The sequence below is a fragment of the Homo sapiens genome, chromosome 6 (genome assembly GCF_000001405.40).
Source record: "Homo sapiens chromosome 6, GRCh38.p14 Primary Assembly".
In the NCBI taxonomy this organism is placed as follows: Eukaryota; Metazoa; Chordata; class Mammalia; order Primates; family Hominidae; genus Homo; species Homo sapiens.
In genome coordinates, this window is record NC_000006.12 from 8,017,542 (window position 1) to 8,043,002 (window position 25,461).

General features: G+C 38.9%; 1 protein-coding gene and 2 long non-coding RNA genes across 5 annotated transcripts in view, besides 1 other annotated feature; all 3 read right to left on the reverse strand.

The window, feature by feature from the left end:
* Nucleotides 1-25,461, reverse strand: part of BLOC1S5-TXNDC5 (BLOC1S5-TXNDC5 readthrough (NMD candidate)) — a 183,165-nt gene that overhangs the window by 136,292 nt on the left and 21,412 nt on the right. The window contains exons 3-4 of the long non-coding RNA NR_037616.1: nucleotides 23,598-23,727; nucleotides 8,826-8,884 (exon numbers count right to left, since the gene is read on the reverse strand). This is a non-coding gene — a long non-coding RNA (BLOC1S5-TXNDC5 readthrough (NMD candidate)). The remainder of the gene's footprint in view (nucleotides 1-8,825; nucleotides 8,885-23,597; nucleotides 23,728-25,461) is intronic.
* The window catches only part of EEF1E1-BLOC1S5 (EEF1E1-BLOC1S5 readthrough (NMD candidate)), an 89,029-nt gene that overhangs the window by 3,975 nt on the left and 59,593 nt on the right, over nucleotides 1-25,461 (reverse strand). The window contains exons 5-6 of the long non-coding RNA NR_037618.1: nucleotides 23,598-23,727; nucleotides 8,826-8,884 (exon numbers count right to left, since the gene is read on the reverse strand). This is a non-coding gene — a long non-coding RNA (EEF1E1-BLOC1S5 readthrough (NMD candidate)). The remainder of the gene's footprint in view (nucleotides 1-8,825; nucleotides 8,885-23,597; nucleotides 23,728-25,461) is intronic.
* The window catches only part of BLOC1S5 (biogenesis of lysosomal organelles complex 1 subunit 5), a 50,848-nt gene that overhangs the window by 3,975 nt on the left and 21,412 nt on the right, over nucleotides 1-25,461 (reverse strand). For 2 of the 3 annotated variants that reach the window (NM_001199322.1, NM_201280.3), the window contains 2 exons: nucleotides 23,598-23,727; nucleotides 8,826-8,884 (listed from right to left, as the gene is read on the reverse strand). In NM_001199322.1, the coding sequence (NP_001186251.1) occupies nucleotides 8,826-8,884; nucleotides 23,598-23,727 (189 nt within the window). The remainder of the gene's footprint in view (nucleotides 1-8,825; nucleotides 8,885-23,597; nucleotides 23,728-25,461) is intronic. The other variant, NM_001199323.1, reaches the window with a different exon arrangement.
* Nucleotides 13,562-13,762: a silencer, noted in NCBI's record as "peak5648 fragment used in MPRA reporter construct". NCBI's record gives its function as "represses an SCP1 promoter by STARR-seq MPRAs in K562 erythroleukemia cells {active_cell/tissue: K562}" and the evidence as "EXISTENCE:reporter gene assay evidence [ECO:0000049][PMID:32103011]".

Below are 25,461 nucleotides of genomic sequence, written 5' to 3' on the forward strand. Positions count from 1 at the left end.
AGACCATCTTCAGGCTGTTCATCACGTTCTTCCTGTTCTATTTTCTCTCTCATTTGGGTCAGGATGACAAACAGGATGAAGGGCTGAATAAGCCAATGTGCTCTAAGTACCCATGAAATGCAAACTTCTGCTAGTTGTTTTGCATAGCTACTTCTAAAAGCCTCTCCTTTAAGACGACATTATTCTCATTTTACAGACAAAGAAATTAAGGCTTAAGGACACTTTTATCCTCCATGGTCACTCACCTAATAGCTTGGTTGTAGATTCAAATTTAGGTCTTTCTGACACCCAAACCTACGCCTTTTCTATCACAGAGTGCAAATCAGATCTTTCCAGAGGAAGTTTTACGTAGGTAGCTAAAAATCCCTTTCACAAGACAAACGGTCTTCTGAGAGTCTTTTTGCTAGGCTGATCTGAAGCTCCCCAGCACCAAGACTGTTCAACTTCAGACTCACGTCAACTTCTTTCCAATTGAAAATTCTTGGTCGAACATTCTTCTAAAATGTCAGTCAAACTTTGCTCTAAAATATGTCCTACGGACACTTGGGATCTGAACAGATATTACAGTGGTAGGGAGAGAGGATTAGGGAGGAGTTTACTCATCCAATAAATTGGTTAAACAGGTTAAACAAAATCCAATGCGTTACTTTTTAACTTTTCAGCCTTATAGATTAGAACTCTCCAAAAGATGCATGAAGAGTTTATTAAATCTTCTGATGGAACTTTTGCAAAAACTGTTACAGTCTAAGAGAAAAGCCACAGTCAGACTAGAAAAAGAAAAAATGCAGATAAACTTCATCAAAATGATATTTAGCTTTAGTTGTGTTTTAATAAATACAGAGAATGTTAAACATGCATACTCAGATGTTATTTAATTTGTTCATTTCTTTGTAAATGGAAAGTCATCATTGGCTCAGCTGACCTTGTGATGTGGATCACCAGGCAACAGCCCGTGTTCCCCTTCCCAACCAGAACGCATTTTATCCAGTACAGCCCAATAAAGAAAAACGGAGCTTTGGCAGGCATACCAACCTCGCTTCAAATTCTGGTCTACCTGTCACTAGTTGCATGATGCTGAGCAACTTAAAGTTTCTTTAACTTTAAAATGAGGAAAATAAATACTCCGCATCCATAAATAATATTTATAAAGACTACAGGTAGAACATGTCAAGTTCCTAGCTCAGTGCCTGAGGAACTTAATAAAAGGTAAATATTATACAAATCACAAGCGAAGCATCTAGAAGGCAGATCACTCCACTTTTATCCCCTTGCCATTTCAGTTTCTGTTCTTTAATTTTAATAATTTACTTTTAGCAACAGATTATTGTAATAATTCAAACAATAGAGACAACTCAAGAGCAAGAGACTTTCCCCTCCATTCCTAGATTCAATTTAATCCTGGATGTAACCATTATTAACCATTTGGCTACAAGAACAGTCTTTAAGACGCTGCAATATATTAGTGAATAAGATACTGCCAAAGATCAGTATTTCTATTGTGTAGTTTCAGAATATTATGAATAAAGACAAACATATTCAAGTAGCCTGTTCACATCAGGCATATCGCTTATTGGCCTTGTAGGCCGAGTGAAAATAAGCTAAAAGATGACAACTTCCAAATCCAAATAAAAATCTAGTTTTGCTCCCTTATCAAGAAGTTCTTACAGTCACTCCACGCTATCGTTTCCTAGTTTCCCACTTGTAATAGTAACTGCTAGGCATTCTTACTTTTTTTTTTTTTTTTGAGATGGAGTTTCCCTCCTGTTGCCCAGGCTGGAGTGCAATGGCACAATCTTAGCTCACTGCAACCTCTGCCTCCCGGGTTCAAGCAATTCTCATGCCTCAGCCTCTCAAGTAGCTGGGATTACAGGCAACCACCACCACACCTGGACAATTTTTGTATTTTTAGTAAAGACAAGGTTTCACCACACTGGCCAGGCTGGTCTTGAACTCCTGACCTCAGGTGATCCGCCCACCTCCGCCTCCCAAAGTGCTGGGATTACAGGCATGAGCCACCGGCGCCCGGCCCATTCTTACATTCTTTACAACAATCAGTAAAGAAAAAAGGGGGGGGGGGCGCCTATACATTCATGTATTGACAATACTGCAGTCTTTACATACAAATAAAACCCAGCTACCTGGAAATAACATTTATCTGAACCTTAGTTGAGAATGTGCTAAGACCTTTAAGTCATGCAAACGAAGAAGATGCTACAAAGTCCATTTACAAATACTGCACATGAAAAGCCCTTCTGATTCCGAGCCTACTTGACCTACATTACATACAATTCTAACCAGCTTAGTTAACTGGTTTCTAAGACGACACCCTATGAAAAAGTCACAAGTTAGAAAATGAAAAGGCTGATAATAAGGGAAGAATAACAGGCATCAGCCTTATAGCAAAAGAGGAGGCAGATACAAAAACTTAAAACACACAGTATCTGAGGGCAGTTGGTACAGAAACATAGCACAGTGTCTCTCTTTCTCATTCCCTAATGACATCACCATATTCACCATAATATAAAATCTGATATTCTCAGTAACGCCTGATTCCTACAAAATTATTCTGTAACATTTAATAAATTTTTTAAATAACATAAAAGTATAGAATATCTTTTTAAAGATTTCCATCCAAAGTAATCAAAGTCATGGTGACAGAAGACAAGAAGACCCTTCGAGACATGGAGACCTACAACATCTCCATTAAGGAGATGCCCCTCAATACTGCTGACCTCGTCTGAGAGGCTGTTCTGCTACCTGGCCCCAGCTAGGGGCAGAGGAGCAGCAGGTGTGGGGGTATGGCATGGACATCTTGTCGCTTTTTTCTCTGAACAAATACCACTTTCTAAGGCAAAAGAAGTTAACTGTGAACATGTCAGACACCCTTTTCTTTGGGGTAGGCTCTTGCCCTAGGGGCCAGTTCTTCTCCCCCAAAACACTAATTCATTTCCCTAAGCTAGTTACCTCCAGATTCCAGAGGCTCTCCCCACCCCAGCTGAGTTTCTCTGGAAATCATTCAAGGGACTATGTCACTCAACTTCATTTGCTGGAACAAATCTGGAGGGAGAGCCCCTAAAACTTCTGAGTGAGGCTGCCCAGCAGATTGTACCCATGTAGGGGAAGCAGAGGAGAGAAAATGGTAGCCATTTTTACACTGGCATTGTTTTGTATAGTATTTATTGATTCAAGAAACATAAAATTCTGAATAAAATGACTTGGAAACTGCCCTTTAAAAATAAAGAAATTAGAAAAACAACAAAAAAAGTGGCTAAAGTTATAAGAGCATTGTGCTTAAAGAAGATGAAAACCTTGGCTTTTACATAGAATTACCATACAAAGCAGCAATTCTACTGTTGGGCATATATCCAAAAAAATTAAAAGTAGGAACCTGAACAGCTATTTGTACACCCATGTTTACAGCAATGTTATGCATAATAGCCAAAGGTGGGAGAACCTAAACGTCCATAGACAGATGAACAGATAAACAGAATACAGTCTACACATACAATGGAATATTATTCAGCCTTAAAAAAGAAGAAAATTCTGACACATGCTACGGCATGGACGAATCTCGATGACATTACACTAAAGAAACAGGCCAGTCAGAAAAGAGACAAATGTTATATGAGTCTACTTACACGATGAACCTAGAGCAGTCAAATTCATAGAGCTGGAAAGTAGAATGGTGGTTTCCAGGGGTGGAGAGAAAGGGGAATGAGGAGTTACCGTTTACTGGGTACAGAGTTTCAGTTTTGCAATATGAACGAGTTCTGTGGGCCGGGTGCGGTGGCTCACGCCTGTAATTCCAGCACTTTGGGAAGCTGAGGTGGGTGGATCACCTGAGGTCAGGAGTTCGAGACCAGCCTGGCCAACATGGCGAAACCCTGTCTTTACTGAAAATACAAAAATTAGCTGGGCATGATGGCGGGCACCTGTTGTCCCAGCTACTCGGTAGGCTGAGGTGGGAGAATCCCTTGAACCTGGGAGGCAGAGGTTGCAGTGAGCCGAGATCGCACCACTGCACTCCACCCTGGGTGACAAAAGCAAAACTCCATCTCAAAAAAATAGTAATAAATAAATTTAGAAAAAAAAAGTTCCGTGGATGGATGGTGGTGATGGTTGAACAACAATGTGAATATAGATAATGCCACTGAAATGTACATTTTAAAATGGTTATGAAGGTAAATGTTATATTATATGAATTTTGCCACAATAAAAAAAATTTAAATCAAGTTTCAGTGGGCTCTTCTTAAATGAAATCAATTGCACTCTTCAAGATAAACTTAGAAAATACCAACTTTAAAAGAAAATGAAGAGAATTTATTAATAACCTATAACCACATACCAAAAGTAATGAACTATAATGGTGTTATCTCTTTCTACTTAGTAAAATGTATACATTAAGTTACAACAGAGAAAGAAATAATAAACCGGCACGCATGCAGGCACACACTCACTGCTCTCCACCAATTAAAGATAATTTGAAATAGAGATAATTTGAAATAGAAACCAATCCTGAAGATCGGCATCTAGAACCAGGTCTATAAAAGAAGTCTGGATTACAAAATAAAACCACACTTCTGCAGAGATTCGTCTAAGTCAGTGATTTTCAATGGGGGGCAGGGGAGGGCATTTTACACCCCTCTTCCCCAGGAGATTGTTGGTTATTATAACACAGGTTGTGGGGAGGTGCTACTGGCATCTAGTAGGCAGAGGTCAAGGATGCTGCTAAACATCCTGCAATGCACAGGACAGCACCCACAATAAGGAATTATCAGGTCCAAAGTGCCAACAGTGCTGAGGTTGAGAAAACCTGGTCTACGGGAAAACTCTGAAAAACCCAACTAAGGTGTAAAAGGTCTTTTAGAGCATCTGCCAGTAATATGCATGCCATTAATTTTATATATGCCTTACAGAGACATAGGAAAAACTATTTCCTTTGATAAGGAGTGTCAGTATAACAACTGCCAAAAATGATTTTATATAGAACAATATGTACCTATATGTTACTCTATTTTCAAACTCTATTTTTTTTTTCTTTTTTTTTTTTCTTTTTTTTTTGAGACGGAGTCTCGCTCTGTCGCCCAGGCTGGAGTGCAGTGGCGGGATCTCGGCTCACTGCAAGCTCCGCCTCCCGGGTTCACGCCATTCTCCTGCCTCAGCCTCCCAAGTAGCTGGGACTACAGGCGCCCGCCACTACGCCCGGCTAATTTTTTGTATTTTTAGTAGAGACGGGGTTTCACCGTTTTAGCCGGGATGGTCTCGATCTCCTGACCTCGTGATCCGCCCGCCTCGGCCTCCCAAAGTGCTGGGATTACAGGCGTGAGCCACCGCGCCCGGCCTCAAACTCTATTTAAAACAATGTACAAGCCATGTGAACTTGTTGCTCTCATGAAAGTAATCATAAAGACAGATAACTGGATCTAATAAATATTTGTGGACAAGGTGAATTAAAAGCATTCATATTTACTTCATAATTACTTCCAGTCTGGTTGAATAGGGCTTCAAAAGTTGACACCACCTGTGCATGAACCTAAATTTAAATTATTGACAGATATTATTAACCATCTCATCTCCACCGGTGGCATATTTTTAAGAGCCAGTGAATTTTATAAGGCAATAATATTTTCATTTCACTATTCCTATTGCTAATACCCAAAATGCAACTTTGTACTAGTGGTAGTTTTGAAGACATGTCAAATAACTAGGGAATGTGCATTTATTGTTCTTCTGAATGTACTTTTAGATATCAATTGTGGGAAATATGATTTGTATGAATGACGTTTATCAGTTTACTTCCTACAGAAATCCACAAATTGTCTTGACATAAAAGAATTAATGAACTCAAGACCAGCCTGACCAACATGGTGAAACCCCGTTTCTACTAAAAACACAAAAATTAGCCGTGTGTGGTGGCGTGCGCCTGTAATCCCAGCTACTTAGGAGGCTGAGGCAGGAGAATCACTTGAACCCGGGAGGCAGAGATTGCAGTGAGCTGAGATCGTGCCACTGCACTCCATCCTGGGTGACGGAGTGAGACTCCATCTCAAAAAAAAAAAAGAATTAATGAGTAATGGCAATAGTCTATTTTATCTCATTACTACTCCCATCTTTGTTCTGAGAACCTTTCAAATATACAAAATGTATGCAATAGTATAACCAAGGGCAACAATTAACATTAGGTTGTAAAATGCAGCTACAGGTCAGGTCTTTTGCTTTGTTTACATTGGCTAGATGAGAAATTAAACTTTACCTTTATGACATACGTGTGTGTGCGTGCACATGTGTATATGTGCACATGTGTATATGTGCACATGTGTATGTGTGGGGTTTGAAACCTCTGCCATGTCACAGATTCAGAAGAAGCTACATATGGCAGTAAAACAGAAAAAGAAAAAGAAAAAAGAAATAAAGACAGGACTAAAAGTTTATTGCTCCAATAAGAATGTAAAGAATTTTTACTTTGAGCAGAGAAGTGGATCTGTTTATGACTTTAAGTTGGTTAATTTATTAAATTATCTTCAGAAAAGAAAATTAGGGTAACAAATCTAAGTCTGCTTACAAACTTAAGTCTCACAGACTTACCAACTTCTGGTGAAACAACATTTCAGTATATTTTAAAATACTAATTTTTAATATATATTCTATAAAAATTAGTTTGAAAATATCCCCAGACATAATATCTATAAGAAATGTCCTTCAGGCCAGACACAGTGGCTCACGCCTGTAATCCCAGCACTTTGGGAGGCCGAGGCGGGTGGATCATCCGAGGTCAGGAGTTCGAGACCAGCCTGGCCAACATGGCAAATCCCTGTCTCTACTAAAAATACAAAAATTAGCTAGGATTATAGGTGTAATCCCAGCTACTTGGGAAGCTGAGGCAGGAGAATAGCTTGAACCTGGGAGGCAGCGATTGCAGTGAGCCACTGCACCACTGCCCTCCAGCCTGGGTGACGGAGTGAGACTCCATCTCAAAAAAAAAAAAAAAAAAAAAGAAATGTACTTCATATTAAATATTAAAATATTCTTATTTCTTGTGGCCACTGCTTTTTAAACCATGGGACAGACAGCACTTTTCAATTTGCAAAATCATCAATGGGAAGGATTCTCAAGTGCTTCACAGACTCTAACAGACTACAGCAGGGATCTTACCCACACGGTGACCGCTCGCATCTTAAACAAACAGTGAGCTGGCAGGAAAAAAATGCTGCCCTACATTTTGATAGTAAGATAACAATTTTCAAAGTCATTTCAAATAATTTTTATAATGCAATTTACCCATCAATCTATCAGATAAGTAGAATAGATCATTAGTTTGCAAACGAGGAGCTGGAAGCTCAAGGATTTGTCCAAGGGCTTATAGCTAGCTAGTACAGGGAAGCAACACCAGACATAAAAGAAGCCAGGTATTTCTTACCCAATCTGGTCATCTTCCTACTATACACAGGGCTAATACACCACATGTAGAAATACTTCAAAGTGACAAGAGAAACTCTTCAAATTATAATTTAAGTTCCTTCTGCTCAAGGTCAGGCTTGAATGCCATTATCTTCCTAATAAATTACACTTTATTTGCCAAGATCCCAAAAAGTTCTTAGTAATGATCATAGTTCTTACTTTATCCTCTATTATTATAGTGTTAGTGCTTTGGGACTCCAAGACTTTTAGCTCCTTAAGTGTAGGAACAGCCCTAAAGTTAACAAAATCGATCATCCCCTGTGGCACCTAGCAAAGTAGAGGAATTAAAAATATATCTGCTGTCCAGCCTGGCATGGTCCACTTACGTCCCCAGCCCTGCCTGCCTTTCCAGCACTCTCTGCACGCTGTGCAAGCACCCCATCCTGACACAAACTTCCCTGACCACAGCTCTGCCTTGCCACTTCATCCAGGAGCTCAGCTGTGGCCCTGCTTCCTGACTGGCCTGCGGGGTCCCACTATCCTTGGGCAGCATTCCCATCTGTCTTAAATGTCAAGTCCTTTCAATTATCACATTGTTGAATTTTCAAAATTTACATCAACATTTAGATTTGAGCAGAGGGTACAGAAACTGAAACTCTGAGAAGGTTCATTCCATTATATTTTTATACAGTGACAGATGTGAACTATTATTGTGGATTAACCACAACACATTCCAGATAAATGGAGACAGTAACATTTGTCGATACACACACATACAAGCAAAAGGGCATTATTTTCAGTGACTTAGTCTTTTCAATGTTTCTTAATAAGTGTAAGATGTATATTCATTAGTTTAGAGCAATGAATAAGTTACAAAAACACTTTATGAAAATTGCAAGTGAATACCACCAAATTATCACAGGAACTTAAATTCTTGTGCTATTTTTCCACATCTGAATTTAGTTAACATATAATTCAAATAAGCAAAGCACTGCCCAGCAAATGATTCAAATACTCCTATGGCTATTCATTAAATAACCTACACAGGCATGAATGCTTCCCTTTCTAGAAGAAATATACAGAATATACTCAATACTTCAGGCTCAGAGGAAAGATTTATATCTCCAATCTGGTGGTTATTTGTTGTTCCATGTAAAAGTCCTAATTTCTCTCTCCTCCAGGAGACAAATACCACTTTCAGGGAAAAGATGGAAATGTTGAAAAGGAAAAAAGAGAGTTCTGCAATTTCAATTATAAAAATATTGATGGTATGACCACACCTCCTCAACACATCTTCAATGAATCAGCCATTTTAAAATATGTAAAACTCACTGCATTCAGAGAATTTTCTGATCAAAAGCAATTGCTAATAATATGATAATAAAGATGCAAGAATTATATGCCTCATTATCTAAATGATCTTTTACCTTTTTTCGTTCCTGTTCCCTCTGTTGGAGTCTACAGACTGAGTCATTAGCTGCTTGCACTGAAATGAAAAAGACATGGGTTTTCAGTCAGCAGACCATGTTCAAGGAAACACATACCTGGGGGAGGAGTGTGTGTGGAGAGTACATGAATTGTTTTAGATCTCAAAAAACTATGCAAAGAACTGATATTATTTTGGTGGTGGTGGGATGGCCAGAAGGGGAAAATAAGTTTTGCCAATATATTCAGGATGTCATAATTAGAACAACCATAATTCTTGAGCTTTGAGCTACAAGCTGAAGGGCATTTAAATACTAACTCCAATGACAGATTGTCTACAGCTCTCTCACTGCAGTACCTGGTAACCACATCACTTCAACAACTTTCTACTATTCTTGCCTGTGCTCTCTTGACTTCTAATTTATCCTGGCTGCCAGTGCAAGATTCAACTTCCTCTGGACCATCTCCATTAAGTCATTTCTCTTTCTTAAGAACTGCTAGTAATAATTATTGTAATTATTTATTATTTACTAAGTGCCAAGATCTATGTATTATCCCTCTTAATCCCACTTTCCTATCAGGAAATGATCACTATTCCATTTTACAGATGACAAAACTGAGGTACAGAGAGGTGACGCTGTCAATCAAGGAGGTTATAAAACTAATAAGTACAGGAAACAGGATTTGAAGTCAGATCTTTCTGGCTGTAAAGACTTGGCTCTTACTATCAACACTCTACCGCCTCTTTAATTATTTCATCAATGAAACCAGTTGTAATTCTTCAGTTATTTAAACCTTTTCACCGCCAGATGCATTTTCTGTTCATAAATGTTCTTACTTACTTTATCCAAATAAAGACATGTAGTGTGCAGGTTAAGAGTGAGCCTTAGTCAAATTTGGCACTCAGTTGTGTGAATGATCTTGGGCATGTTTGCTCGCTCAATTATTCATTTGACAAATGTTTACTGAGCATGTGCTTTGTGCCAGGCACTGTTCTTGTTGGTCCTCCTATCTCTCAGCAACTTAGTTCCTCATCTGTAAAATGAACATAACAACTAATAACAGGGCTTCAGAAGTGACATAAAATTTAAATGAGAACACAGTACATACTATGCTTAAAAGTAAATCATTTCAATATTAATAATGATAACCACTTAGAGTAGTTCTTCATATAAAATAAGCAGTCAGGCCGGGCACGGTGGCTCACGCCTGTAATCCCAGCACTCTGGGAGGCCGTGGCGGGCAGATCACCTGAAGTCAGGAGTTCGAGACTAGCCTGACCAACATGGTGAAACTCTGTCTCTACTAAAAATACAAAAATTAGCTGGGAATAGTGGCACATGCCTGTAGTCCCAGCTACTCGGGAGGCTGAGCCAAGACAATCGCTCGAACCTGGTGCAGTGAGCCAAGATCGTGCCACTGCACTCCAGCCTGGGCAACAGAGCGAGACTCCATCTCAAAAAAAAAAAAAAAAATACAATAAGCAATCAAGAACTGCTCATTGTCACCAATATTCTATTTATTGTACTATCCCTAAAGAAAATCCTTTCCTTATTTCTTTCCACTAATTAAACTGTTTTGTTTCAAAAGCCCAGTTCAAGGTTTACTGTCTTCACAAAGCCCTCCTGATTAGTCCCTTCCCTCTGAGGATTTTCCCTATTTGAAATTCCTTAATCAGGTGTGTGTGTATCCTACCATTTATTAATATCTTGCCTTTGCTGAAATTGGAGGTTTGTCTAATTGTTTTACAATTATGTCTTCCTACCCCACCCCAATCCGGCCCCAACTAGGTCACAAGTTCCACAATAGGGCAGGGACTGTGATTTCTCTTTCAGAGAAATGTTAGGCCTCTCCCTCTGGGAATATGGTAAAAGAGAAGAATTTTGTTTTCAAAAAGTTGTGTTTTTATCAGTAACCATTAATTTTAGCTATATCAAAGATAATATTTAAGTATTGAAAATTAGGTTCCCAATCATTGATTTTTAAAAAAGAAAATATTTAAAAAAAAAAAAACAGGAGTTGATTAGCTCTGCCTTCTTTCTGTGGCATATTAACATGACATCATCTTTCCCAAGCAGTGCTTCTATCATTTCCTGCGTTGTTTTTTTCCCCCACTGGCTCTGAGAACATAACTTAAAATCCATTTGGCAGTTGTTAGGAGCTTCATCACTTTCAGAAGATTCTGAGCCTAACCTAAAAAAAGAGTTACAGGCTTCTGCCACTTACTTTGTCATCTGTTATGTCCTTTAAAATTCTAATCAGAACACATCTGACAAAGGTGCACTTTTGTTCCTCATCAGGATTGTTATGTTTAGACAGAATATCCACTTTTAGAAATTACAGTCCCTTTGAAGCAATTCACCTTTTAACTCTTTAGGCACACAACGGAAAAGGTTTACTTTCTGAATTTATGAAATTTGCTTTTCTAAAGTCAAAGACAATCACCAGACTGCACCAAACATTCCCTTTTTGAACAATTAGTGACACCAAGAAGGCCCATTTCTCTGAACCTTCCTATCACATCTGCAACACTTACTGGTTGTAACTCAGTACGAAGTCATTTCCCCTGTTATCTCAGTGTTTTAGGAGACTATATTGACTTAAAAAAAAAAGTCAAGAATTTATCAAGTGCTTTTTCTCTTAACCAAAAGATTATTCAAGTAGATTTGTGCCGCATACCACAGTTAACAATGTTCTATTTTCCTCACATAAAAAAGAAACAAATTCATTCTATCATGGTGTCTATAAGTAAACCTCAAATACACACGTAAGAAAATAATTTCACAACTTGCAGTTCCAAAATGCGGATATAGAAGCGAGCTAGCTTCACTCTCCACAACAGAAAACCAAAATCAGGTATACAGTGCCGGCAATACCCCAGAACTCAAACATGAGGATAAGACAGTTCTCAGGGCCACAGAGAAATGAAAACACTCTGAGGAGACAGGAACAGAATTGGACTTCCATCTCTGTAACATTCCTTCCCCAACCTGCCTTGGCACCAAGCACATGGGAAATCTCCCTGACTCATGGTTTCTATGCTAAAAGAGGGATCATGCTGGATGATCTGCTTCCCCATCATCTTGGGCTCCCTGGCAGGAGAAGTGTCCCTGCCTTAACCCATGGAAAGCATTTGTGATACCCGAGGGCAGACATATCCTCAAGGACAGCCAGAAAAAAAGGAGAGAGGTGCCACTTCCACCCCCAGTCTTTCAGAAACTCTGCTCTGTAACTCAGCCAAAGGAGACACCAAATCAAAGTGGCTACTCAGCACCACCACACTGCACGAGGTTCGTTCCCCAGGTCCCCTGGGAACAGAGGCTGCCTAGCCAGCCTTCCCACACTAACGAGATATCCCTTTGCGGACCTCCCCCATTCAAGATGAGTGGCATTCTGATCGTTTACTAGAACTAAGGCAGACTTGGGTTTAAGGTGCAGTCTAGTGCTGAAAAGAAGCAGTGATCTAGTGAAAGAAAAAAAGAAATCTGCAGGTAAAATACAAAGACTCTCTAAGCAAATGTATCCAATAAAAACAGAAACAAGACAGAGGAGATGGGAATAAATAACTAATGCTTCAATGCCAAGACGCAGATGTACATCCACAAGAAACAACAGCAAACAAGGAATGAAGACCTCCCTAAACAGACAAAGCAAAGAACCAGTCAGTGAATGACCTCAGTGAGATGGCAATATATGAACTCTCTGACCAACAATGCAAAATAGCAGTTCTAAGGAAACTCAGTGATCTCCAGGATAACACAGAAAAAAAATTCAGAAATTTAACAAAGAGATTAGAACAATTTTTTTTCTTTTGAGATGGGGTCTCACTCTGTTGCCCAAGCTGCAGTGCAGTGGCACAATCTCGGCATACCACAACCCCTGCCTCCTGGGTTCAAGCGATTCTCCTGCCTCAGCCTCCTGAGTAGATGGGACTACAGGCATGCACCACCACGCCCGGCTAATTTTTGTATTCTTAATAGAGACAGGGTTTTACCATGTTGGTCAGGCTGGTCTTGAACTCCTGACCTCGTGATCCACCCACCTCGGCCTCCCAAAGTGCTGGGATTACAGGCGTGAGCCACCACGCCTGGCCAGATTAAAATAATTTTTAAAAATCAAACAGAAATCTTGGAACTGGGAAATACATTTGCTGAACTGAAAAATCCATTACAGACTCTCAACAGTAGAATGAATCAAGCAGAGGAGAGTCAGTGAGCTCAAGAAAGGCCAGGTACAGTGGCTCACTCCTGTAATCCCAACACTTTGGGATGCCAAGGCGGGTGGATCACTTGACGTCAGGAGTTCGAGACCAGCCTGAACAACATGGTGAAACCCCCTTTCTACTAAAAATAGAAAAATTAGCTGGGTATTGTGGCAGGCGCCTGTAATCCCAGCTAGTCCGGAGGCTGAGGCAGGAGAATGGCTTGAACCCAGAAGACAGAGGTTGCAGTGAGCCAAGATCACGCCACTGCACTCCAGCCTGAGCAACAGACCAACAGTCAAAAAAAAAAAATCACATGATCATCTCAATACACTCAGAAAAGGCAACTGACAAAATCCAGCATCACTTTATGATTAAAATCCTCAGCAAAACCGGTATAGAAGGGACATACCCTAAGGTAGTAAAAGCCATCTACGACAAACCCACAGCCAACATTATACTGAATGGGAAAACTTGAAAGCACTCTCCCTGAGAACCGGAACAAGACAAGAATACCTACTTTCACCATTTCTATTCAACATAGTACTGGAAGTTCTAGCCAGAGCAGTCAGACAACAGAAAGAAATAAAGGGCATCCAAATCGGTAAAGAGGAAGTAAAATTGTCACTAGTCACTGATGATATTATCGTATACCTAAAAAACCCTTAAGACTCATCCAAAAAGCTCCTATAACTGGTAAATGAATTCAGAAAGTTTCAGGATACAAAATCAATGTACACAAATCAGGAGCACTGCTATACACCAATAGAAACCAAGCTGAGAATCAAATTAAAGAGCTCAACCCCTTTTAGAATAGCTGCAAAAAAAGCAAAATACTTGGGCCTAACCAAGGAGGTGAAAGACCTCTACAAGGAAAACTACAAAACATGACTGAAAGAAATCACAGACGACACATATGGAAATACATCCCATGCTCATGGATGGGTAGAATAAATATTGTGAAATGTCCATAATGCCAAAAGCAATCTACAAATTCAATGCAATTCCCATCAAAATACCATTATCAATATTCACAGCACTAGAAAAAAAAATTCTAAAATTCAGATGGTACCAAAAAAGAGCCCACATAGCCAAAGCAAGATTAAGCAAAAATAACTAACCTGAGGTCATCACACTACCTGACTTCAAACTACACTACAAGGCTATAGTCACCAAAACAGCATGGAACTGGCATAAAAATAGGCGCATAGACCAATGGAACAGAATAGAGAACCCAAAAAGAAAGCCAAATACTTACAGCCAACTGATATTTGACAAAGCCAACAAAAACATAAACTAGAGAAAGGACACCCTATTCAACCAATGTTGCTGGAATAATTGGCATGCCACATGTAGAAGAATGAAACTGGATCCTCATCTCTCACCTTATGTAAAAATCAACTCAAGATGGATCAAAGACATAAATCTAAGACCTAAAACCATAAGAGTTCTAGAAGATGACATTGGAAAAACCCTTCTAGACATTGGCTCGAGCAGAGACTTCATGACCAAGAACCCAAAAGCAAATACAACAAAAACAAAGACAAATAGATGGGACTCAATTAAACTAAAAAGCTTCTGCACAGCAAAAGAAATAATCAGCAAACAGACAACACACAGGGTGGGAGAAAATCTTCGCAAACTATGCATCCCACAAAAGACTAATATGCAGAGTCTACAAAGAATTCAAACAAATCAGCAAGAGAAAAACAATGCCATCAAAAATGGGCTAAGGATGTGAATAGACAATTCTCAAAAGAAGATATACAAATGGCCAACAAACATATGAAAAATGCTCAATATCAATAATTTTAGGGATATGCAAAGCAAAACCAGAATTCGATAAGACCTTACTCCTGCAAGAATGGCCATAATTTAAAAAATTTAAAAAAAAATTGATGGAATGTATCTCAAAATAATAAGAGCTATTTATGACAAACTCACAGCCAGTATCATACTGAATGGGCAAAAACTGGAAGCATTCCCTTTGAAAACGGGCACAAGACAAGGACGCCCTCTCTCACCACTCCTATTCAATGTAGTGTTGAAAGTTCTGGTCAGGGCAATCAGGCACGAGAAAGAAATAAAGGGTATTCAATTAGGAAAACAGGAAGTCAAATTGTCCCTGTTTGCAGATGACATGATTGTATATTTAGAAAACCCCATCGTCTCAGCCCAAAATCTCCTTAAGCTGATAAGCAACTTCAGCAAAGTCTCAGGATACAAAATCAATGTACAAAAATCACAAGCATTCCTATACAGCATTAACAGACAAACAGAGAGCCAAATCATGAGTGAACTCCCATTCACAATTGCTACAAAGAGAATAAAATACCTAGGAATCCAACGTATAAGGGATGTGAAGGACCTCTTCAAGGAGAACTACAAACCACTGCTTGCCAAAATAAAAGAAGACACAAACAAATGGAAGAATACTCCATGCTCATGGATAGGAAGAATCAATATCGTGAAAATGGCCATACTGCCCAAGGTAATTTATAGATTCAATGCTATCACCATTAAGCTACCAATGACCTTCTTCACAGAACTGGAAAAAACTACTTTAAACTTCATATGGAACCAAAAAAGAGCCTGCATTGCCAAGACAATCCTAAGCAAAAAGAACAAAGCTGGAGCTATCAAGCTACCTGACTTAAAACTATACTACAAGGCTACAGTAACCAAAACAGCATGGTACTGGTACCAAAACAGATATACAGACCAATGGAACAGGACAGACGCCTCAGAAATAATGCCACACATCTACAACCATCTGATCTTTGACAAACCTGAAAAAAACAAGCAATATGGAAAGGATTCCCTATTTAATAAATGGTGCTGGGAAAACTGGCTAGCCATATGTAGGAAGCTGAAACTGGATCCCTTCCTTACACCTTATACAAAAATTAATTCAAGATGGATTAAAGACTTAAACGTTAGACCTAAAACCATAAAAACCCTAGAAGAAAACCTAGGCAATACCATTCAGGACATAGGCATGGACAAGGACTTCATGGCTAAAACACCAAAAGCAATGGCAACAAAAGCCAAAATAGACAAATGGGATCTAATTAAACTAAAGAGCTTCTGCACAGCAAAAGAAACTACCATCAGAGTGAACAGGCAACCTACAGAATGGGAGAAAATTTTTGCAATCTACCCATCTGACAAAAGGCTAATATCCAGAATCTACAAAGAACTCAAAAAAATTTACAAGAGAAAAACAAACAACGCCATCAAAAAGTGGGCAAAGGATATGAACAGACACTTCTCAAAAGAAGACATCTGTGCAGCCAACAGACACATGAAAAAATGCTCATCGTCACTGGTCATCAAAGAAATGCAAATCAAAACCACAATGAGATGCCATCTCACACCAGTTAGAATGGCAATCATTAAAAAGTCAGGAAACAACAGACGCTGGAAAGGATGTGGAGAAACAGGATCGCTTTTACACTGTTCGTGGGAGTGTAAATTGGTTCAACCATTGTGGAAGACAGTGTGGTGATTCCTCAAGGATCTAGAACTAGAATTACCATTTGACCCAGCAATCCCATTACTGGGTATGTACCCAAAGGATTATAAATCATGCTACTATAAAGACATATGCACACGTATGTTTATTGCAGCACTATTCACAATAGCAAAGACTTGGAACCAACCCAAATGTCCATCAATGATAGACTGGATTAAGAAAATGTGGCACATATACACTATGGAATACTATGCAGCCATAAAAAAGGATGAGTTTATGTCCTTTGCAGGGGCATGGATGAAGCTGGAAACCATCATTCTCAGCAAACTATCACAAGGACAGAAAACCAAACACTGCATGTTCTCACTAATAGGTGGGAATTGACAATGAGCCCCCTTGGACACAGGGCAGGGAACATCACATGCTGGGGCCTGTCGGCGGGTGGAGGGCTGGGGAAGGGATAGCATTAGGAGAAATACCTAACGTAAATGAGTTGATGGGTACAGCAAACCAACATGGCACATATATACCTATGTATCAAACCTGCATGTTGTGCACATGTACCCTAGAACTTAAAGTATAATAATAATAAAAAAAGAATTGATGTTGGTGTGGATGTGGTGAAAGGGGAACGCTTTTACACTGCTGGTGGGAATGTAAACTAGTACAACCACTGTGGAAGACAGTGTGGAGATTCCTTAAAGAACTAACAGTAGATCTACCATTTGATCCAGCAATCCCACTACTGGGTATCTACCCAGAGGAAAAGAAGTCATTATATGAAAAAGACACTTGCACATGCATGTTTACAGCAGCACAATTCTCAACTGCAAAAATATGGAACCAGCCCAAATGCCCATCAATCAACAAGTGGATAAAGAAAATGTGATATATACATATATATACACATATGCATACACACACACACACACATACACATATACACACACACCATGGAATACTATTCAGCCATAAAAAGGAATGAAATAATGACATTCACAGCAACCTGGATGGAATTACAGACCATTATTCTAAGTAAAGTAACTCAGGAATAGAAAACCAAACGTCGTTATGTTCTCGCTTATAAGTGGGAGCTAAGCTATGAGGACACAAAAGCATAATAATAATACAGTGAACTTTGGGGACTCAGGGGGAAGGATAGGAGGGAGGTAAAGGATAAAAGACTACACATTGGGTACAGTGTACACCAAAATCTCAGAAATCACCACTTAAGAACTTATCCATATACCCAGACACCACTGTTCCCCAAAAGCCTATTAAAATTTTCAAAAAGGAATAAAAATCTTTTTTTTTTTTTTAAAAAAAAGGCATAGAGTGGCTGAATAAATAAGACCCACCTCTATACTGCCTACGAGAAAGGCACTTCACCTATAAAGACATGCAAGTTCTATGTGCTAATGAAAAGAACGTGTATTCTGCAGCAGTTGGGTGAAATGTTCAGTAAATGTTAGTTGGGTCTTACATTTCCACGCAACCAGAAAAAGATATTCCATGCAACTGGAGACCAAAAAGAGCAGGAGTAACTATACTTACATCAAATAAAACAGACTACAAATCAAAGACTGCAAAAAGAGACAAAGAAGGTCACTATATAATCATACAGGGGTCAATTCAGCAAGAGGGTTGTAACAATTATAAATATCTATGTACTTAACACTGGAACTCCCAAGTACATACAGGAAACATTAATAGATCTAAAGGGAGAGATAGAATGCAATAGCCGCAGGAGACTTCAACATCCCATTCTTAGTAATGGACAGATCATCCAGACAGAAAATCAACAGAGAAACATTGGAGAGTTCAACTACAAACTCGACCAGGCCTTAATGACACTTACAGAACCTTCATCCAACTGCAGCAGGTTACACGTTCTTTTCATCAGCACACAGAACATTCTCTGGAACAGATCATATCTTAGGCCACAAAACAAGTCTTAACAAATTCAGAAAAGATAGAGATCATTATCAGGTATATTTTCTGACCATAATGGAATAAAATTAAAAATCAGTAACAAGAGGAAACTTGGAAAATACACACACACAACATGCTCCTGAACAACCAATGAGTCAGGGAAGAAATTAAGAAGGAAATTTAAAAATTTCTTGAAACAAATAAAATGAAAATACAACATACCCAAATCTATGGGATACAGCAAAAACAGTACCAACAGGGAAATTTATAGCAGCAAAAGCCTGTATCAGAAAAATAGAAAGACTTCAAATAAACAACCTAACAAGGAACAAAAAATTAGGAGAAGGAAAGAAATAATAGAGACCAGAGCAGAAATAAATAAAATTGAGGCTAAAAACATCAGAGTCATTAAACTATTATCAACAACTATACGCCAACAAATTGGAAAACCTAGAAGAAATAAATTCCTAAATACATACAAGCTACCAAGTACAAACCATGAGGGAACAGAAAGCCTCAACAAACTAATAATGAATAACAAGGTTGAAGCCATGATAAAGTCTCCTATCGAAGAAAAGCCCAGGACTTAATGGCTTCTTTGCTGAATTCCAGCAAACATTTAAAGAAGAATTAACACCAATTCTACTCAAGTTCTTCAAAAAACCTGAAGAGGAGAGAATATCCCCAACTCATTCTACAAGGCCAGCATTACCTCAATATCAAAATCAGACAAAGACAAAAGAATTAAAAAAGAGAAAACTACAGGCAATATCACTAATGAATGTAAAGGCAAAAATCCTCAACAAAATAGTAGCAAACCAAATTCAACAACATGTTAAAAAGATCATTCACCATGATCAAGCAGGATTTATCCCAGGAATGGCAGGATGGTTCAACATATGCAAATCTATAAATAACCCATATGGTAACCTCAACAGATGCTAAAAAAGCATTTGATAAAATCCAACTTTCCTTTATGATAAAAACTCTCAACAAACTGGGTATAAAAAGAACATAGCTCAAAATAGCTGTGGGCAAACCCACAGCTAACATCATACTGAATGAGGAAAAATTGAGAGCCTTTCCTATAAGATCCAGAACAAGAAAAGGATGCTCACATTCACCACTTTTATTCAACATAATACTGAAAGTACTGCCAGGGCAATTAGGCAAGAAATAAGGGCACACGAATTGGAAAGGTATTAAGTCAAATTAGCTTTGTTTGCAGATCACATGATCTTATATTTAGAAAAACCTATTGACTCACCAAAAAGCTCTTGGAACTAATAAATGTATTCAGTAAAGTTGCAGGATACAAAATCAACATACAAAATCCATAGCATTTATATATGCCAACAGCAAGCAATCTGAAAAAGAAACCAAGAAAGCAACCCTATTTACAATAGCTACAAAGAACATAAAATACCTAGCAATCAACTGAACCAAAGAAGTAAAAGATCTATACAAGGAAAACTATAAAACTTTGATGAAAAAAATTGAAGAGGGCACACAAAAATGGAAAGATATCCATGCTCTGTAACTGGAAGAATGCCATTAAAGTGACAATAATACCCAAAGCAATTTACAGGCTCAATGCAATCCCTATCAAAATACCAACGACATTTTTCATAGAAACAGGAAAAATAAATCCTAAAATTTATACAGAATCACGAAAGACCCTGAATAGCCAAAGCAATTTTGAGCAAAAAGAACAAAGCTGGAGGCATCACACTACCTGATTACAAAGCATATTATTAATACAAAGCTATAGTAACCAAATCAGCATGATACCAGCATAAAAACACACAGGCCATGCATGGCACAGAATCAATAACCCAGATATAAACTCACACATTTATAGCCAGCTCATTTTCAACAAAGGCACCAAGAACATACAATGGGGAAAGGACAGGCTCTTCGATAACCAGTGCTGGGAAAACTGGATATCAGTATGACTGGGAAAACTGGATATCCATATGAAGAAGAATGAAACTAAACCTCTGTCTCTCACCATCCACAAAAATCAAATAAAAATGGATTAAAGACTTAAATCTAAGACCTGAAACTGTGAAATTACTAGAAGAAAGCCTAGGGGGAAACACTCCAGGACATTGGTCTGGGCAAAGACTTTTTTCTGTAAGACCTCAAAAGTAAGGCAACCAAAGCAAAAACAGACAAATGGGGTTACATCAAGCTAAAACGCTTCCGTGACGCAAAGAAAATAATCAGCAAGTTGAAGAGACAACCCACAGGAGGAGAAAGCATTAGCAAACTATTCATCTGACAACAGATTAATAACCAGAATATATAAGGAGCTCAAACAACAATATAGCAAAAATCCCAAAGAATCCAATTTTAAAAATAGGCAAAGATCTATTTCAAAAGAGACATTTCTCAAAAGACATAAAATGGCCAACAGGAATATGAAAAAAGTGCCCAAGATCACTAATTATCAGAGAAATGCAAATCAGACCACAATGAAATAGCATCTCTAGTTAAAATGGCTTTTAATTAATTAATTAATTAATTATTGACGGAGTCTCACTCTGTTGCCCAGGCTGGAGTGCCGTGGCGCTATCTTGGCTCACTGCAAGCTCTGTCTCCCGGGTTCACGCCATTCTCCTGCCTCAGCCTCCTGAGTAGCTGGGACTACAGGCACCCGCCACCATGCCTGGCTACTTCTTTGTATTTTTAGTAGAGACAGGGTTTCACTGTGTTAGCCAGGATGGTCTTGATCTCCTGACCTCATGATCCACCCGCCTCGGCCTCCCAAAGTGCTGGGATTACAGGCGTGGGCCACCACACCCAGCCAAAATGGCTTTTATTAAAAAGATGAAGAATAATGGATACTGGCGAGGATGTGGAGAAAAGGGAACTCTCGTATACTATTGGTCAGAATATAAATTAGTACAACCACTATGGAGAACAGTTTGGAGGTTCCTCAAAAAACTAAAAATAGAACTACCATATGATCCAGCAATTCCACAATACTGGGTATATATCTAAAAGAAAAGGAGAGAGACATCTGCACTTACGTGTTTATTGAAGCACTAGCCAAAATATGGAACCAACCTAAATTCCCATGAATGGGTAAGGAAATGTGGTATATATACACAATGGAATATTATTCAGCCATAAAAATGAATGAAATCCCATCATCTGCAGCCACATGGACAGAACTAGATGTTATTATGTTAAGTGAAATAAGCCAAGCACAGAAAGACAAATATTGCATGCTCTCACTCGTATGTGAGAGCTAAAGAAATGGATCTCATGAATATAGAGAGTAGACTGGTAGTTACCAGAGGCCAGGAAGTATAGTGAGGAGGAGGGCATGAGGAAAGGTTGATTAATGGATATAAATATATGGTCTGATGGAAGAAATAAGACCTAGTATTTGATATATCAGTAGGGTGACTATAGCTTACAATAACCTATTATATAATTCAAAATAGCTAGAAGAGAATAATTTGAATGTTTTTAACAAAAAGAAAGGACAAATATTTAAGGTGATGAATATGTGAATTACACTAATTTGGTCTTTCCAAATTATATGAAAGCATTAAATTACCATAAGTACCCCCAAAATACGTACATTATACAATAATACAAAAGTAAAGTTATTTTTAAAAAGCTAAGTCAATGTAGTATTAGCTTTAAAAAAAAAAAGAAAATAATTTCAGCTTGGCATTAGGAACAGATTTTGGCCGAATGCTCACTCATTCATTTCAATGAACAAATTACTAGTGAGTGGCTATAAAGTAGCAGGCACTGTTCTAGGTGCCTGAGATACCACAGTGAACAACAACAACAAAAGTCCTGAGCTTACAGGACTCAAATTTTAGTTGGGAAGACAGGGGTATGGGACCAGGCTAAAACCACAAATATGGAATTTAATTATTAATTGGTATACAGATGATATTGAAAGGCGTGATTCTGTATAAGCTCACCAAGCGAGTTTAAACAAGAAAGCAGTTGCGGAACCAAGCCTCCGAGCACCACATGGTGAAAAGTCGTGAAGTTAAGTGGGAACTAACAAAGTAGACTGAGAAGGAGGAGCCTGTGTTGTAGGAGGCAATCCAAGAAAAAGTGATAATCCAGGAATAAAGGCAGACTTTTCTTACTACCTTTTCAAAGATATACAGAAGTAACATCCTGAAGTGGAACTTGAGCTCTGGAGGCAGAAGAGCTAGGCTTGGATGGTAGTTCCTCCAATTATTATTGGAGAATCTAGAGTGTTCAACCATTATAAATTTCGGTTTTCTCAACTGTAAGGTGGGGAAGATGATAAACATTTATCTTACTGGGTTATGATTAAAAAAATGAAAAAATACAGGTGAAAATTCTAACTAGTAAAGTGCTATATAAATTCGTTTGTATTTTTAATTACAGTCTGTTCTTAAAGATTTCTAGGTAAAGATGGCAGAATGAAGTAAAATCACACAAACTTAGTCCTTTAAATGCCTCTCAAAATAAATAGTTTTTTAAAAGTAAAAAAACTTCACCATTTACTAAACAGTAAAGAATTATAATTGCATACTATAAACTTTGAAAAGTAGCAGCCAAAAATAGGAACACAGATTGTAGTCAAGAACCGAGATTCCTGGCTGGGCACAGTGGCTCACGCCTGTAATCCCAGCACTTGGGAGGCCGAGGCAGGTGGATCACGAGTCAAGAGATCAAGACCACCTTGGCCAACATGGTGAAACCCCATCTCTACTAAAAATACAAAAATTAGCCAGGCATGGTGAGACGCACCTGTAGTCTCAGCTACTCAGGAGGCTGAGGCACAAGAACCACTTGAATCTGGGAGGCCGAGGTTGTAGTGAGCTGAGATTGCACCACTGCACTCCAGCCTGGGACACAGAGTGAGACTGTGCCTCCAAAAAAAAAAAAAAATTTGTAAAAATAGGTGAAAACTGTTTTGACTTTCTCACATACTAAACAGATTGTCTCGTGTACCACAGATGCACACATCTCACTTTGGAGATTAATGCTGTTTGGAGATTAATTAATGGCAACACACATTAATCACTAGAAAACCACTTTCTCTGTAACTGAGCTTCCCTCTCCCTCTCCACCTCCCCCCATAATACCCAAGAAAATACATTTTGGTGTAGCATTCATTTGAAATGAAAAGCAATTAAAAAAGAATTGCTGACTCACATCTCTGGAGAACCTGGCTGAGGCTGTCCCGCATTGTGTCTCTACATTTGGGAAGAGTATGTTCATTTGTTTCATGGATCATGTTCTTCAAATTTTCAAGAACTCGCATTTCTCGAAGACCACGTTTTTCCTATTAAAAGAAAGTAGATGACTAATAAATATGGTGTCTTTTCCTTTTTTTTTTTTTTTTTTGAAATGGAGTCTCGCTCTGTCGCCCAGACTGGAGTGCGGTGGTGTGATCTCAGCTCACTGCAACCTCCGCCTCCTGGGTTCAAGTGAGTCTCCTGCCTCAGCCTCCCAAGTAGCTGGGACTACAGGCTCCCGCCATCACATCCAGCTAATTTTTTGTGTTTTTAGTAGAGATGGGGTTTCACTGTGTTAGCTAGGATGGTCTCGATCTCCTGACCTTGTGATCCGCCCACCTCGGCCTCCCAAAGTGCTGGGATTATAATCGTGAGCCACTGCGCCCGGCCATATTGTGTCTTAAATCTTAGTAATTACTTTCTTTCTTTCTTTCTTTTTTTTTGAGATGCAGTCTCGCCCTGTCGCCCAGACTGGAGTGCGGTGGCGCTCTCTCTGCTCACTGCAAGCTCCGCCCGCTGGGTTCCCGTCATTCTCCTGCCTCAGCCTGCCGAGTAGCTGGGAATACAGGCGCCCGCCACTACCCCCGGCTAATTTTGTATATATTTAATAGAGACGGGGTTTCACCGTGTTAGCCAGGATGGTCTCTATCTCCTGACCTCGTGATCCACCCGCCTCGGCCTCCCAAAGTGCTGGGATTACAGGCGTGAGCCACCGCGCCCGGCCTAAATCTTAGTAATTACTTTCTAAGATATCCACCCAGGTTTTGGTTGTTAGGTTATGACTTATTACTGAAAATTTATGCAGCTTTCTTCTAATTATTTGGCAATAAATGCCTCATAACCCAGAGGCATTTTTAAAATTATGAAATGCTCCAAAAGTTGCAATATGAGCAATATTTTTATAGCAATGTTAAAAAATTGGCAAGAGAAATACTAAAAGAACCAGAAAAATGGTCCAGATTGCCACATATTTTATTAGAAGGAAATTAAACACTCCGATCTGATCTTAAATTTCATTTTGTCATTCTAACTATCATATAGCTTCTGTTATTATGTGCTATATTTTTTATCTGATTCCCTTTCTTTTCTCAAAATAAAAATGGGTAGTAAAAGTAATATGTAGATACTTCCCTATATAGAAAAGAACACTGAAGGCCTGAGGCTATTATCATTAGAAAGGCCTCCTCATAAGGTTGGCCCTGGCTGGGGGCTGGAAACTTGACTAGTAAACAGTTTCCTCCGTTGGTATAAAACCCTTCCATAAATTATAAAAGTGGTTCACTGTGCCTAAATGGTTTACACCAAGCTTGTCCAACCCACGGCAGACGGGCTGCAAGCAGCCCAAGACGGCTTTGAATGCAGCCCAACACAAATTATAAAACTTCCTTAAAACATTATGAGATTTTTTTGTGATTTTTTTTCTTTTTTAGCTCATCAGCTATTGTTACTGTTAGTCTATTTTATGTGTGGCCCAACACAATTCTTCTTCTTCCATTGTAGATCAGGGAAGCAAAAAGACTGGACACCCCTGGTTTACACAAACAATGTGATTAATGTTGAATACCTCTTTCCTTCTGGAAGTCTGAAAATGCTGTATGTGCTAGGCAGAGGATGCCTCCTTGACCAGCCCCCAATAAAACCCCTGGACTCCTAGGCTCAGGCAAGCTTCCCTGTAAGATTACACTTTACATGTGTTGTCACAACTTGTCACAAGGGGAATTCAGTGCATCCTGTGTGACTCCACTGGGGGACGACTCTTGGAAGCTTCTACCTGGGTTCCT